Source organism: Homo sapiens, chromosome 4 (assembly GCF_000001405.40).
Source record: "Homo sapiens chromosome 4, GRCh38.p14 Primary Assembly".
Classification (NCBI taxonomy): domain Eukaryota; kingdom Metazoa; phylum Chordata; class Mammalia; order Primates; family Hominidae; genus Homo; species Homo sapiens.
Window position 1 is genome coordinate 77,800,959 of NC_000004.12, and position 17,537 is coordinate 77,818,495.

The window sequence follows — 17,537 nt, forward strand, 5'->3', positions numbered from 1 at the left end:
GAATAAAATGCCTACAAAAGTATCCACTCTACTCATATAAATGACTGCCAAGAAGGTGGTGCTTTGTATTGAGCAGAAAGGTTAGAAGGGAAAGGGTGTCAACTTTAAAATTGCTCCTAAAATAGTTGATTAGAAGGATAAAGAACAAGAGAACTTACAATGGCTTTGAGTCAAGCTTGGTTCCAGGAAAAGGATACTCTGACCCTACGTGAAAGCAAAAACCAGCCACTGAAAAGTAGACACCCAGATTTTGCCAGCAGAAGGAAGAGTATTGTTCATTTCCCACAAAGGTAGCAGAGTCTTTAACTTCAATTCCTAGGTTTTCCTGGCAAATAGATACTCTGCAAAAGCAACAAAGCAAACTAAATATAATGCTCTTCACAATTTCAATCCTGCACTCACAACGCCAGCTTCACAAACTCATCAAAGGTCACAGAGGAGCTAATTTCCTGTTTTGTTACTTAAAACTCATTACCTTCCTCCTGAGCTAACCAATACAGAATAATTTCCTTCTTGTTTTGAAGCTGACAAAATAATGACAGTATACATGTAACATACCAAAAAAAATTTTTAGACAGTTACTAAGAGTCAAGGAATACAGTTTGATATAATTTTCTGAAAACAAATTGCACAGAATCCATGTCTATTATTACTCCACTTGAGGAATATTTATTTTTCTTAACAAATTTTAAAACCTTTATTTTGAAGTTATTTTACCAGAAGATAAAAATTGGGGGGGGGGGAGAATGAAACATTTTATAAATATTTATCAAAAACCCATTATAAGCCATGCACCTTGCATGTGCCTGTAGTCCCAGCTACTCAGAAGCTGAGGCAGGAGGACTGCTTGAAGTCAGGAGCCCGAGGCTATAGCAAACTATGGTCACATCTGTGAATAGCCACTGTATTCCAGCCTGGGCAATATAGCAAAAACTATGTCCCCCTGTCCTAAAATCCTCATAGTCCAGGAAACAAGATGAGAAAAATGTAAACAATGACTACCATGTTGTAAACATTTATTTCCCATTTCTTTCTAAAATGTATTTAAAGTTGCTTTCCCCAAAAGAAATATAACAGTTTATACATAATTTTAATTTAGTGAAGAATATGTGTAAATTCCATTAAAGTCCATTATAATGCTACTAAGAAGATTCCAATGGAGCAGTAGTTCTAATACAGGTTGATGATTGTGAGGTGTGTTACAAATACAGTAATTTGTAACTATTAATAGTAAAAATTACCTAAATTTATGTACACCTTATACATACAATATAAATATACTGTATGTCAGCATTGATTCTCTATCCTCTTACCAGTATTCCAACAATAAGAAGAGTAGAGTTACAACTATTTCTCCCAAATATTACAAATCATGATGGATACATGTTGCATATGCACATATCCTTTAGGTATGTTATATAGGTTTTAGTCTTCTTTGTATTAAAATATGCCTCTTATCATGCTACTAAAAAATGTTTTCATTAAACATAAATTACTTCCTAATTACTAAATGAATTTTCAATCTCCTTTTCAGACAGTACTCATCCCACATGGCTTCTCTGACTTTGAAAACTAAGGGCAACATTATTTCTTGAAACTTTCCCCTCCCTTATCTTCTGGACCAGATTTTAACTAGACTGATAGAAGATGGAGTTTATGGGTGAGAGAGAAAAGAAAACATGCACTGAACACCCAGTATGTGGCCAGATGGTATGCTAGAGAATTTGAATTATTGCATTTAACTTAACCAAAAGCATAGACCCTAATTATCAACTATCATTTTACAGATGAGGAAGGTGAGATACAGAGAAGTTGTGCAGACATCTAACACCTCACAGCTAGTAAGTGGCTAGACGGGAATCTGAACATAGTTAAGACCAACTACAAAAACCAAGCTTCTACTAAATCATGCCAAATTTTAGACATTCCCAGAAGAAAATGCGGAGAAAATATTTTATAATCTTGGGGTGCAGAAAACTTATTCTAAGCAAGGCAAAGACCTTTTATAAGGAATGATAAACAGTATTTTAAAAATTTAATGTCTATAAGGCAAAGAGCAAAGTCATAAACAAAGTCAAAAAACAAACAAGAAACTGGAACAAAGTCTCTGCAATATTGATAATGAGCAATAAGGTAATGTTTCTAAAATGTAAACAGCTATTAACAAAGTAATAAGAAAAACAGAGACACCCAATAGAAAAATTTAGGGTAAAGGTCATGATCAGGCAAATCACAAAAGAATGCAGTGGCCAAAAAAAATGTGAAAAAAAAAATTATCTCCACTATAATTAACAAATTCCAAAATTTAAAATATGTATGACTTTTTGTTATTAAAATGACAAAAATTAATTATGTGAATATGAGTTTGAGAAAATAAGCATACATCACACAATTGTTGGGAGTAAAATTTTATAAAACATTTCTAAAGGGCAATCTGACAAGATGTATCAAATATTAAATGTGTAATTACTTTGATCCAGCAATTCCTTTCCTAAAAATTTATACTTTAAAAAAGTGTGCAAAAGGTGTTTATACAAGTTTTTTCACTGCATTAGTGTTGATAATCATCAAAAATACAGAAATAAATTGTCAATCAACAGGGGACTGAATGACAGGACATCAATAAAATGGATTACAATGAAGCCATTAAAAAGCAGGAGGTAGGGCAGGTGCGGTTGCTCATGCCTATAATCCCATCACTTTGAGAGGCCGAGGCAGGTAGATAACCTGAGAACGGCAGTTCAAGACCAGCCTGACCAACATGGAGAAACCCCATCTCCACCAAAAATACAAAATTAGCCGGGTGTGGTGGCACATGCCAGTAATCCCAGCTACTCGGGAGGCTGAGGCAGGAGAATCGCTTGAACCCGGGAGGCCAAGGCTGCAGTGAGCCGAGATCATGCTATTGCACTCCAGCCTGTCAACAAGAGCGAAATTCCGTCTCAAAAAAAAAAGAAAAAAGCGTGAGGTGTGGAAATGTAAAACAGCGCTGCTACTGTGGAAAAGTTTGTCAATTCCTCAAAAAGTTAAAACACAGAAATACGTATGACCCAGCAATTCCACTCTTAGGTATACACCCAAGAGAAATGAAAACATACGTCTTCACAAAACCATATACATGAATTATTTATAATAACCAAGTATGTATAATAATATATTGTTCACTCATAAAAAGGAATGAAATATTGGCCGGGCACAGTGGTTCATGCCTGTAATCCCAGCACTTTGGGAGGCCAAGGTGGGCAGATCACCTGAAGTCAGGAGTTTGAGACCAGCCTGGCCAACATGGTGAAACACCGTCTCTACTAAAAATACAAAAAATGAGCCAGGCGTGGTGGTGGGCTCCTGTAATCCCAGCTACTCAGGAGGCTTAGGCAGGAGAACTGCTTGAACCTGGGAGGCGGAGGCTGTGGTGAACCGGTATCGTGCCACTGCACTCCAGCCTGGGTGATGCAGCAAGACCCCATCTCAAAAAAAAAAAAAAAGGAATGAAATACTGTTATATGCTACAACATGAATCTTGAAAATATTATGCTAAGTGAAAAAAGCAGACACAGTCACATATTATATGATTCTACTTATATTAAATGACTAGAAGAAGCAAATCCATAGAGACAGAAAGTAGACCAGAAATTGTCAATGGATGGGGTAACTGGAACTAACTGACATAAAATATGAGGTTTCTTTTGTGGGTGATGGAAATGTTCTGGAATTTGCTTGTAGTGGTGGTTGGCAACATACTGAATGTACTAAAACCACTAAAATATACACTTTAAAATGGTGAATGTTTGTGTTATGTAATACATATCTCAACTTTCATCCTACAATTTTTTAAAGCATGAGGTGTATTTATTAATGAAAAAAGATGTTTTCAAATGAAAAAAAAGCAAATTTTTAAAAAAGTATACACAGTATGAACCTATTTTAGTTATGTTTTTGTGGTTATGTAAGTATATATTGACCAGAAACAGGTAACAGTACTACCACTTAGCCTTGAACAACATGGGTTTGAACTGCACAGGTTCACTCGTGGAGATTTTTTTTAACCAAACACAGATGGAAAATATAGCACTTGTGAGATGAGAAACCCATGTATATAGAGGGCCAATTTTTCATATACATGGCAGGACCTGAGTATGTATGCATGGATTTAGGCATACACAAGGGTCATGGAGCCAATCCTCTCTATACCAAGAAACTACTGTATATATTATACTGCTAACAAGCTTGATCGCCATGAAGCAGGATAACCAGAAAATTATGCGTTTTATTACCATTTGAATTTTTTTTTACAAAGAGTACATATTATTTCCCAAAACAGACATGATGCAATAAAAATACTACCATCTGCAAAGAAAAGTACATTACTATGACAAAAATACACAGAAGAAGAGTAAAACAGGAGCTAGTACAAGCAAAGGTAATTAACCTAGGTTCCATAAATCTCAGGAAACCTGTGAATTTATATAGAAAAAAAATTACATCACCATTTTCACTAATCTCTAAAATTTTCACACAAACCTAAACAATCAACCATAATAGTATTAGCAGTACCTGTGATTTCTGTCACTAACAGAAGTACATTTTCATTTCATATTATAGTTGTTACAGAAATCTCAAAATATCTATATGTACCAGTATTACAAAATTATGGTAGCTATTAGACTCATTGCAAGACGTTACTTAACAGTATTAGTAGAGAAGCATATATATTACTATATCATATTTTGGCATTTCAATATAACAAGTTCCTTTCAAGTCCTATTTACTTTATTTCACTCATTTAAAATTGTCATTCTACATTGGATTCACAGCCTTCTCCAGACTGAAGAAAGGTCCACAGCACCAAAGATTAAGAATCCATGAATTAGCAACAGGAAGGGAAACCAATCATAAGAGTATTCTAATTATTCAAGCATAAAGTAAGCAGAGCCCAAATTCAGGCAACGATAGAAATCACTCCAATAGAATTCACAGTAATCAATTTAACCAACATAAAATACACAATTTCCTTCCTTGACCTGCCTCTTCCGTTTTTCTCATTCGTCTCTGACTTCCTCATAGTCAATCATTGACTTATCACTTTATATTTTAACTTTTTTTAAAAGGCCTCCTTCTTCCCAGTCCCATCTCCTCAACTGATGGTGAATACCTCAACTAGATTAATCTTAAAAAATTAACTTCAGGCCGGGCACAGTGACTCACGCCTATAATCCCAGCACTTTGGGAGGCTGAGGCCGGCGGATCACCTGAGATTGGGAGTTCGAGACCAGCCTGACCAACATGGAGAAACCCCATCTCTACTAAAAATACAAAATTAGCCGGGCGTGGTGGCGCATGCCTGTAATCCCAGGTACTCAGGAGGCTGAGACAGGAGAATCGCTTGAACCTGGGAGGCGGAGGTTGCAGTGAACCAAGATCGTGCCACTGCACTCCAGCCTAGGCAACAAGAGCAAAACTCTGTCTCAAAAAAAAAAAAAGATTAATTTCAAACTGCCACCAACCTGTTCAAAATCATTCCATGGTTCCCAATGTCTTTAATAGTAGTACTGATAATTATGATATTCTAGAGCTACATCTTGCAGTATCTATTAATCAAAACAATTGTTTAGGTAATGAATGTTCTATAAAATACCTAAAGCAATATTACAACATACAATTTGTGTATTAAGAGAACCCAAGTTATGGATTTAAAAAACACCTGCTGCTCTAGAGTTGAAAGCTTTGTATCAATGACTCCAGAACAAAATTAAAATTCCTTACCAAGATATTCAAGCCCCTCCACGATCATTCTCCAATTTGCCTTATTAACCTCATGTTCCCACTCGAGCCCTAGAAGTTAACCAGAAATTTACTTACTTTCCCACTCACCACCACCCCTGAACCTGGACTCATTTTTCTGCAACTATAGATCTGCTGATATGATTTCCATGTCTGTAATGCCATTTAATTATTCATTCATTTAATAAACACTTTCAAATTCCCAACTATATGCCAAACTCTGTATTAAGCCCCTACTATGTATCAAACACTTGAGCTACAAAGGTAAGGCATATATCATCTATGCCCTTAAAAACCTCACAATCTTTTGTATTTTTAATAGAGAGGGGATTTCACCATGTTGGCCAGGATGGTCTCGATCTCCTGACCTGGTGATCCGCCTGCCTTGGTTAGCTGGGCATGGTGGTGTGTGCCTGTAATCCCAGCTACTCGGGAGGCTGAGGCAGGAGAATCGCTTGAACCAGGGAGTCAGAGGTTGCAGTGAGCCGAGATCGCGCCACTGCATTCCAGCATGGCGACAGAGTGAGACTCCATCTCAAAAAAAAAAAAAAAAATCCTACAATCTAAGGCTACAGGGAGAGGATCTGTTGAGCTCAGGAATGCAAGGTCAGCCCGGGCAACATAGCAAAATCTCCATCTCTTAAAAAAAAAACTCACAGTCTAACGCAAAACGGAGACATAAACCCAAGTTAAACACAAGGCAATGTAGTAAGTGTTATGAATGAAGAATGCACAGAATGCTAGAGGAGCACAGAAAAAGTTCATAAAGCAAGGACTACAAGTACCAAGTAAGGTTTCCCAAAGTAGGAAGTACCAGAGGCAGATTATTAAAGAAATCAATGAGGTCATAAAGTATAAGGTATTGTAGGCATATATAAAGCACAGACCACGCTGTAAGTCACTCACTACAGCTAGGCTAGGGAATATGTGAGAGAGAGTAGTAACAAATACGAAAACTAGAAAAGTAAGCAAAGACAAGATCATCAAGGGCCTTACACATAATGCTAAGAAATTTGCATCTTATTTAAAAGTAATAGGAAGCAGCAAGATATCTTAGGAAGTACACAGGTTTAGGTATTCCAATGGCCTCAATCTGTCACTTACTTGACCTTCATCAAATCTGCCTCTCTAAGCTTCAATTTCCTCAACTGTGAAGTAGAAATAATATCAACTTTACCAGGATTGTTACAAGAAGAAATGAGTTAGTTCACGTAAATCTCCTTGCATAGGGGTCAGTCAATAAGCTGCATCCAGACTGATTTGGCAGCAAAGAATGGTTTTTACATTTTTAAAGGATTGTGAAAAAAGAATTACAACAAAAATTAAAGGATTGTTAAAAAACAAAAAAATTACAGCAAAAAAGAATATGCAACAGAGATCTTGCATGACCCAAAAAGCCAAAATATTTACATCTGTCCCTTCATAGAAAAAAGCTTGCTAGGCCTGGCGAGGTGGCTCATTCCTGTAATCCCAACACTTTGGGAGGCTGAGGCAGGTGGATCATTTGAGGTCAGGAGTTCGAGACCAGCCTGGCCAACGTGGTGAAACCCCATCTCCACTAAAAATACAAAAATTAGCCGGGTGTGGTGGTGTGCGCCTGTAATCCCAGCTTCTCGGGAGGCTGAGGCAGGAGAATCGCTTGAACCTGGGAGGTGGAGGTTGCAGTGAGCTGAGATCGTGCCACTGCACTCCAGCCTGGGTGAGAGTGGGACTCTGCCATCTCAAAAAAAAAAAAAAAAAAAGAGAAGAGAAAAGAAGAGAAGCTTGCTGTCTCCTATCCTAGCCCACAGTAGGTAACCAGAAAACAGTAACTATTATTATTAAAGGACTGTAAGCAGAGAATTTAAGCAATGTGGGATGAATTTTACAAGGATTTCTCTGGTGACAATGTGTACAAAGGAAAAGATGTTAAAGGAGATATAATGGAAGTTGTAGACTAGCAAGGAAGATATTACAGTAGTCTATTAATTTTTTCCCTGCCTTTTTTCTCATCATAAAGGCAAGAGCAACATCTATCTCCTCTCTTACTTATCCCTGTAGTTTAAAATCCATATGTACTCTGTATGTCATAGCACTTAATGTTAGTCACTTAGCATATTCTGCCTTCACCTGTTTACTAGATCCAGACTTAAACATCCTATAAATGTAAGCATTATAGTATAAGAGTGTTTTAAATTCAAATAGATCTGGTTGTAATCTTGGGCACGTTAATTAACTTCTTTCCTAATAAGAAACAGTAATAGTGTACGTGTATTGTTTTTTAGTTTGGTTTTTTACTACAGATGTGCCAGGTAGTGTCCTAAATACTTTACAGGACTACATCATTTAATCCTCACAAAACTCTACGAGATAAGGAATATTATCTCCCTATTACAGATGAGAAAACTGAAGCATAGAGAAGTTAAATGAGTTTCCGTAGAGCTGGAAAGTGGAGGACCCAAGGCTCACTTTCTTAACCAGCTTCAGAATGAGAATCATACTGCCTCTCTCATAGGATTTTCATGAAGAATAATTTAGATTACACATTTAAAGGGAAGGAGGGGAGTGGCTTTTCACATTCCTTGGTACTCAGTAGTCAAAAAAATATTAGCTCCATTCCCTGGTAGAAAGATTATTCTACATTTCTTTTTATTCCCCAGAACCCTGAATACAATAGTCTATAACAAATAGAAGCTTAATAAATATTAATTAACAGGTTATATTTTGGTGATTCAAATTCTGACAGTGTTTCAAGGCTACCATTCTGTATATAACTCACATTATGTTGTTTCATAAAATTATATGTAGATATTGCAGAAGATTGTACTAAATATGAACCTATAGAAGAATATACCCTGTTAAGTAATTTCTGAGTTTTGCTTTGTTAAATATGATAAACATTATGATCAGAAAGCAATGGATATATGAGATTCCAACAAAGTCTTTGTATAGAGAGACATTAAGGTTGGGATATACTAAATTTAGTTCTATTCTTTTAGCAGTATTTGTAGCTGGTATTATGTAACTCTAATTTATGTTACTCATTTAGGAAATCTATTTAAGTAATATGGGAAAGAGAAAAATAGAGTTTAAACTTTAAGATTAGAGAGGGAGGTTCTCTCTGCAAAAGATGAATATAAGGAACATAAAGTGTTTTAATCTCTATTTTGTGTCACCAATTTCAATTGTTAATAAATGAAAACAATATTTGAAAGCCCCAAATTACCAGGCATCTATTCAGTACAAATGACGAGTTTCTCATTTGTCTTATTTATTAGACTACTTATTTCTTTAAAAATAATAATAAATTGTATCTGTATCAAAATTTTAAAGCGGACTAAAAATAATGAAAACTAATAAACCTGTTACAAAACAAAAATTCTATTACCACTTTCCAATTTCACCTGTTAACAGGAATATTCTTAGCTAAACTCAAAGTTATCTTAACTTCTGAGAACTATACATGAAAGACAAAAATAAAAATTTTTAAAAATATTTATCTGATCAGAATGTGGATGCATGGGAACACAATTAAAATTTCAAAAAGTAAACAAAGGGTAATCACCACATCAAAGTGAAACACAACTTTACCTTACTGAGCAAAGTTTCATATGAAATTTGTTAAATTTTTTAGAAAATTATAAAGAAAACTTGTAAAAACAAAGCCATTGATGCTGAAATGTTTAGGGTGGGAGAATGTCAGCTGACAGCTAGATTCAAAGTACATTAAACTAAACATAAAATTTTTTATTAACCATACCCCCAATATGGCAAAGGTTTGCTTACTTTTTAAATTTTTTAATTGGCACATAATTGTATATATATATGGGATACACAGTGATGTTTCCATACATACAATGTGTAGCGATCAGATCAAGGTAATCAGCATATCCATCATCTCAAACATGTATCATTTCTTTGCATTTGGAACATTCAATATTTTCCTCCTAGCTATTTGAAACTACATAATAATATTGTTAACTATAGTCATCCTACAGTGCTACAGAACACTAGAACTTACTCCCCCATCTAGCTATAATTTTGTACCCTTTAACAATCTCTCTCCCTAGCCCTCTTCCCCCTACCCTTTCCAGCCTCTAGAATCCTCTTTTCTACTTTTTACTTCTAAGAGATCGACTTTTTTTGGCTTCCACCTAGAAGTGAGAATACGTGGTGTTTTACCTTTCTGTTCCTGGCTTATTCCACTTAACACAGTGTCCTCTAGTTCCATCCAAGTTGCCAAGAATGACAGGATTCCATTCTTTTTGAAGACGGATTTCATTCTTTATGGCTGAAGTATTCCACTGTGTTCACTTCTTTGTAAGTCCATGGTTGGCACTTCATTTATGATTTAGTATCTTCTCTGATGCCCTCCAAACCTAGCTATCAAGCTATTCAGTAAGAAATTCTCCACACAATTTTTAGTATTTTTCAAAAGAAAGGATACTTCCACTGCTCAAAAAATCTTAATTATACAGATCAGTAAAAGATTAAGTGCTCTCCAAATGTGCATGTGGACTGATGGGAAGATGATTAAAGATCAAGAAAGGGTCGGGCGCGGTGGCTCACACCTGTAATCCCAGCACTTTGGGCAGCTGAGGCGGGCAGATCACAAGGTCAGGAGTTCGAGACCAGCCTGGCCAACATAGTGATCTCTACTAAAAGTACAAAATCCCGTCTCTACTAAAAGTACAAAAATTAGCCTGTAGTCCCAGCTTCTCAAGAGGCTGAGGCAGGAGAATCACTTGAACCTGGGAGGCGGAGGTTGCAGTGAGCTGAGATCAGGCCACTGCACTCCAGACTGGGCGATAGAGCAAGACTCCGTCTCAAAACAAAAACAAGAAAGGAATGGGGAAGAAAGGGAGAGGGAAAAAGAGGAAAATCTAGCCCCTCTTCCTCCAGCAAGATAAGCATTATTATCTGCCCCTTATTACCTGACATAGCATCTTTATTTTTCTAATCCACATTTCACAATTCTCTCAAAACTCAATCCTAACACTCTCTCACAAACACACACACTCACACAAACAAACACTCAACAATCTAGGAAATGAACTTCCTCAACCTGATAAAGGCTATTAATGAAAAACTTATAGCTCACTACTTTCCGCACACTGCCTGCCTATGGGCTAGCCTTTCTCCGCAAGGAGCAGTTTAAAAAAAAAAAAAAAAAAAATCACAGCTAACATCTACTTAATGGCAGAAGATGGAATGTTTTCCCCCTAAGACTGGGAACAAGACAAGGATTGCTGCAACTCAAGTGACTTCTCTTGACATTTCTTTTCAGTAATGTTCTGGAGGTTCTATCCAGGGCAATTAAGCAAGAAAAGGAACTAAAATGCATCCATATTGGAAAAGCAGAATTGAAACTTCATTTGTTTGCAGGTGACATGATATTTGTATGTAGAAAATCTTATGGAATCCACTTAAAAACTATTAGAACTGGCCGGGTGCAGTGACTCACACCTGTAATCCCTGCACTTTGGGAGGCTGAGGCAGGTGGATCACGAGGTCGGCAAGACCAGCCTGGCCAACACAGTGAAACCCCATCTCTACTAAAAATACAGAAATTAGCCAGGCATGGTGGCAGGCACCTGTAATCCCAGCTGCTCAGGAAGCTGAGGCTGGAGAATCACTTGAACCCAGGAGGCAGAGGTTGTAGTGAGCCAAGACAGTGCCATTGCACTCCAGCCTGGGCGACAGAGTGAGACTCCATCTCAAAAAAAAAAGAAAAAAAAAACTATTAGAACTAAGAAATTCAGCAAGGTTGGAGGATACGAGATCAACAAACATAAATCAAGTGTATTTTTATGCACTTGTCATGCAAAAACCCCCCAAATTTTTTTTAATTCCATTTACAATATCATCTGGAAGAATAAAATACTTGGGAAGAAATGCAGCAACAGAAGTATGAAACTTATATTCTGAAAACTATGAAACACTGTTGACACTTAAAGACGATCTAAATAAATAGAAAAACATCCCATGTTCATGGACAGGAAGCCCTAATATTCAGATGGCAATGGTCCCAAAATTGATGTACAGATTTAACACAATCCCCATCAAAATTCCAGCTGACTTCTTTGCAGAAACTGACAAGCTGATCCTAAAATTGATATGGAAACACAAGAGATTCAAATAGCCAAAACAATCTTGAAAAAGAAAAAAAGAGTTTTTCATTTTTTCTTCTCAAAAGGAAAAACTTTGAGAGGTTTGAGGACTCAGACCTCTCAATTACAAAGCTACAGTAGTCAAGACCATACTAGTATAAGGATAAACATATAAATCAATGAAATAGAATTAAAAGTCCAGAAATAAATCCTCCACACTTACAGTTAATTAATTTTGGACAGGGGTGATGATACAATTCAATGGAGAAAGAACAGTCTTTTCAATAAATGGTACTGGGGCAACTAAGTACCCACAGGCAAAGAGATATTAGACTTCTACAACAGACCATGTACAGAAATTAATTCAAAATGGATCAAAGATCTAAATGTAAGAGTTAAGGCTATAAAACTCTCAGGACAAAACAGGGAAGTAAATATCTGTGGCCTTAGATTAGATATATTAGATAGATTAGAAATAGATTAGATATAGATTAGAAATAGATATATTAGATAGATTAGCTAGATTAGAAACAAGAAGTCATTATTTCTTAGATACGACACCAAAAGCACAGCAAAAATAATAACAAGAATTTCACTTCATCAAGCTAAAAACGTTTGTGCCTCAAATGACACCATCAGGAAAATGAAAAGACAACTCACAAAATGGAGGAAAATATTTGCAAATCATATATAAGGGACACATCTAGAGTATAAAAAAGACTCTTACAACTCAATAATTAAAAAACTCATTATAAAAATGGGCAAAGAATTTGAGTCTTTTCACACACTTCTCTCCAAAGAGGATATACAAATGTCCAACAGCACATAAAAAGCATCATTAGCCATCAGGGAAATGCAAATCAAAACCAGGATCAAATCACACCTGCTAGAAGAACTATGATGAAAAAAGGAGATAATAACAATTGTTGGCATGAAGTGGATAAATTAGAGCTCTCATACACTGCTGATGGAAATGTAAAATACTGCGACTGCTTTGGAAAGCAGTCTAGAAGTTCCTCAAAAGTTTAAACACAAAGTGGTATATGTTCCAGCAATTCCACTCTTAGGTACACACCCAAAAGAATTCAAAACATACATACATAAGAACTTGTACATGAATGTTCACAGCGGCATGATTTATAATGATAGCCAAAAAGTCTATGTCCATCAGCTCATGAATAAGATAAATGTGGTGTATTCTTATGCTGACATACTATTCAGCCATTACAAGAATGAAATACTTGCTATGACACGGATGAACCGTGAAAACACGGTAAGTGAAATATGCTTATCATAAACGACCATATATTAAGATTGCATTTGTACAAAATGTCCAAAATTGGCCAAATCTATAGAGAAAGGAAGTAGTAATTGCCTAGAACTAGGGGCATAAGAGAATGAAGGGTGACTCTTGAAAGATACAGGATTTATATTTTAGGTAATGAAAATGTTCTAAAATTAACTATGGTGATGGTTGCACAATTGTTAATATACTAAAAACTACTGAGTTGTACAATTTAAATGGATACTTCTAAGGTATCTAAATTATACCTCATAAAAGTTGTCCAAAAAAAAGCAACCCTTTAAGTAATTCCTGACCCAATTGACATTCCATTTTATGTCTCAGAATGTCTATAAACAGTTTATATCATATTGACTTGCACTAGTTCATTTGTTTTGAAATAACTAAATTACATGCTTTATTTCCCTTACTCACAAACTATAAGCCTCTACATCTTTCATACTTCTCTTTAGAACTGGGTACAATAATAGGTGCACAGTGGGTCCTCAGATTAGGTTTTCAATTTTCAAGATGCAAGATGTTAGAGAAGTATTTACCATGGAGAAGTTAACCAGACTATTCCAAAATCTTCCCTTTGGGAAATAAAGAGATTATATATAACTCCCCAGAGATCCCTAACCAAACTCTTAGAATAAAAAATAAGTAAAGGTGACACAGAGCTGAAGTTTCACATTATAATAAACCTGCACAATCATAGAATAAATTGTGATTCAATTAAAGTTGTCCAGTGATAAAATACCATTTACTGTATTAGAGGTCCAGTGTCAGTGCAGTTAGTAAAAGAAAGTTGTAGTATTTTCATCACAAAGCATGAGCACAAATTAATAATTAAGCCTCTGTTGTTTACTTGATGATTTTATTGGTCTTTCTGGGTTAAGGCTCACATGTATTAATTTTAATAACTTTAGAATTATAAAAACTGCAGCAACAAACAAGAGAATATGGTAAGGTCCACCTAAATGAGATTTCCCTCAAAGTATAAAGTAATCTTCATCACCTATCCCAATAACAGAGGAAGAAAATTCAAAAAATGTGTTTCCTATGAAACTATACCCAGAAACTGAAATTCAGAGTTTTGTCCTACTGATCTGAACTGATTTCAAAATACAAAGAGAAATAACTCAAACTGCCAGAACTCATTAAAGCACAATGACAATCAATAACTGGATACTACAGGAGAGACCCACTAAAGGTTACAGAATCCAACTGTAATGTTCTCTGAAAAATTTATATCTTTAAATAGTTACAGAAACTCACTTGTCATTTAAGCCCCTCAGTGATGAGAGCTTCCCCCTCCCACTCCTGTGACTCTTCCCTCCTTTCTCCTCTCCCCACCACTCTCCACTCACACCCAATTTTACTCTTTGAAGATGGAAAGCAATTCCTAACTATCATAATTCACCTTTTGGATGTAATTTCATAAATATATGCTAACATCTAAAATAACACCATGAAATGCCCCTTGTAGCAGAGATGGCCAAGCTTTCCACCTGCCAGGGACATTTCCCACTCCCCTTGCATTCAAATAAGACTCTGTGACAAATCTTGCCAATAAAATTTGGAGGAATGTTTGTCATTTAAGTCTGGAGTTTCTTAAGAAATGGTCTTCAGGCAATAGGGAGGACTCCAAGGCCCTAAGAAATGGTGGAGTCACAAGATCTAAGTTGTATGAGTCCCTAAACAACATAAGAGGAAAGCCACAAGAAACCTGCTAACCAGGAGCACCTGCACTGGAACTGTCATGAAAGCAAGTAAACTGTCATGAAAGCAAGTAAACATCTGCACTGGAACTGTCATGAAAGCAAGTAAACTTCTTTGAAATTTTGGAATGTATTTATTACTCTGATTAGCATTACCCAAAGTAATACATACAGAAATTCCTAAGTATTCCAATTCTCCCAAATTAAAGACATTAATAACAGATATTTTGGAAAGATTGCTTAAAAGCCCATTTAAGTAACATTAACTTTTAAAATCTAAACAAGTTTCCACCTTGATTTTGTTGTAACATAATTCCTTTAGTCTAAATAATAACCTTAGTACTTCCACTTCATATCCAAATATCTTTATAGTTCAATATCATCTGTTTTCATGATTACTACAGGGAAATGTTCTTCCCAATTCTCCCAAATTAAAAAATATATATATAAAGTCTTTTAAAATAATTCATAAAGTCCAATGAAAATTACTTTACCAAATACTAAATAAGAGCAGATTCATTTCTATTTCTTTGTTTCTAAGGTATTAAAAAGTATCATTTATAGTTTTAAGGTAAGAATTATTCCTTTAAATATAACCACATGGCAGAAGATTCTGTTCAATGTAAATACACACTCCCACAACACACACTTTAAGAAAATCACAATTTGCATTCTAATAGTTGCCCCTAGTTATTTATAAAAATTCAAGCCCCTCAATGATGAGAGCTTCCCCCTCCCCATCCTGTGACTCTTACCTTCACAGAAATTTTTATATAAAAATATGCATAAAAGCTATACTGAATGTGTTGAAATTTTAGTTTGAATTTTAGAAAATAATATTTTTTAAAGCTTATCATTATTGATACAAATAAATTACGTAAGCCCTACTGGGAAACCCGGCATTTGTAAATAGGGCCATGACAAACTTAAACCAATCAAACTCCCACATTCTCTGTCCTGTCTTTTCCCAAAACAAAAAGAAAACAATCTTTATGTTAACTTTTCTGTTATCTTTACCTTAAATTCCATACCTCTCCATGACATTATTTTTTCCACACAGCAGTTAAAATTTAATGAACACATTTCCTACTCCAGAGAAAATACTAAAAATGGAAAGTTATTGAAAATTAAGTGGACAGAGGATTTTACCTTATATTCAGAGAAATATTCTAAGAAGTTTTATTTACCAAATCAGTCAACATGAGCTAGCATTTTTCGTAGCATTTAAACTTTGGGGATCTATCTAAATTTTGGTTCCTTGATCCTTTTTAATGTTTAACTGTATTGAAACATACATGTGCTATATAGAGGTTGAAAATTTTTTTCCAGGGCTACAAAACGAAAATCATAAAGAATAATGAAACTGAGAGATGGTCTATTTGAAAATATGAAAAAAAAATTAAGTATGACTATTTTTATAAATAACTAGGCTATTTTAATGACTATTTTTATTATTAGAAAAAAACTTCTTATATACATTAAAGTTTATATATATACCTTTTGTATACTGAAGGGCTCTGAAAGATTCCATTGTCTTTTTTACGTTATAGTTACTTAATATTGCTCTAAATAATTAATCATATTTGTGTTTGCAAAGGTTCTTCAATGCCCATAGTCAGGGCTGCAGGAGGCAGAACTAAAATTTAACTAAGCATCTACTACATGCCAAACATATGTTTTCTCATTCTATTCTCAAAACGACCTTACTATAAAGGTATTAGCTCTCTGTGACTGATAAAACTGTGGCTTATAGATATGTTACCTAAGGTCAAACAGCTAAGGAAAAATCACACAGCTGGGAGGCTAACTGAAGTCTGTAAAACAAGTCCTTTTCCCACTAACTACGTATGTTAAATTGTTTTTCCAGTAGTGGTAATAGAGAACAGCTCTTCGCCCCTCCTTCTCTTCCCTCCACTTCCCCGTGAACAGCATACACTATTTCTTTGTGAGACCAGGTGCAAAGAGCAATCTCTGGCCATGACACAGAGTACGGCCTACAAGGATCGAAACTGTATTATGCTTTTATCCACAGCACGGTTCTAGCTAAATGATCTAACTACATACAAATGTAATGAGGTTGGAGTAGAAAAGCACATTAGCAAATAATTATCCAAATGCCATTTGTATTTGGTTCTGAAATGTACTGTAGACCTATTGGCAGCAGGTTTATCTTTACAACTGGGTTTTGCTTAGGCTATTCTCAAAATAGCTTTCCAGCAGCACATACTGAGTAGACAACAGAGGTTGCTTGATCTAGTTTTTGGAGACTGAGGAAAACATGTTTGTTGAGCCTATCTTGATTGACAAGATAACTAGAGGCAATACGGTAAAATGTAACACTGTGCTTCCAATGTGTACAAACGGCTCAGCTAAACTCCCTGAACACAATCCACCTAAACAGTCTAAGCTCAATAGCCGACCGAGTTAAGCAGGATGACAGCTCCAGTAACTTCCTCTTCCTCACCCAGCTCCTCAGCTCGGCGGCGCGTACACGCCTCTCCCCCTAGGAGGCAGGATAAAACAATTTCAAATGCACAAAATCCATCCAATCCCACAGGCCAGGAAAGCCAGTTTCCCTTTCTTCCTCAGCCCTTCCAAGAAAATGTTTGTCTAATTAAAAAAAAAAAAATCTTACCAACGGCAAAGTATTTGCAACAAAAATCC

The 17,537-nt window shown here is 35.7% G+C and overlaps 1 protein-coding gene across 19 annotated transcripts in view; it reads right to left on the bottom strand.

The window, feature by feature from the left end:
• CNOT6L (CCR4-NOT transcription complex subunit 6 like) overlaps window positions 1–17,537 on the bottom strand; it is a 106,883-nt gene that overhangs the window by 87,572 nt on the left and 1,774 nt on the right. For 3 of the 19 annotated variants that reach the window (NM_001387842.1, NM_001387843.1, XM_047449962.1), the window contains one exon: window positions 159–341. The exons of 12 other annotated variants lie outside the window; for them this stretch is intronic. In NM_001387842.1, coding sequence (NP_001374771.1) covers window positions 159–341 — 183 coding nt within the window. Of the gene's footprint in view, window positions 1–158; window positions 17,377–17,537 lie in introns of those variants that run through there. 4 more of the 19 variants (XM_011531807.4, XM_011531806.4, NM_001387838.1 and 1 more) reach the window with 3 other exon arrangements.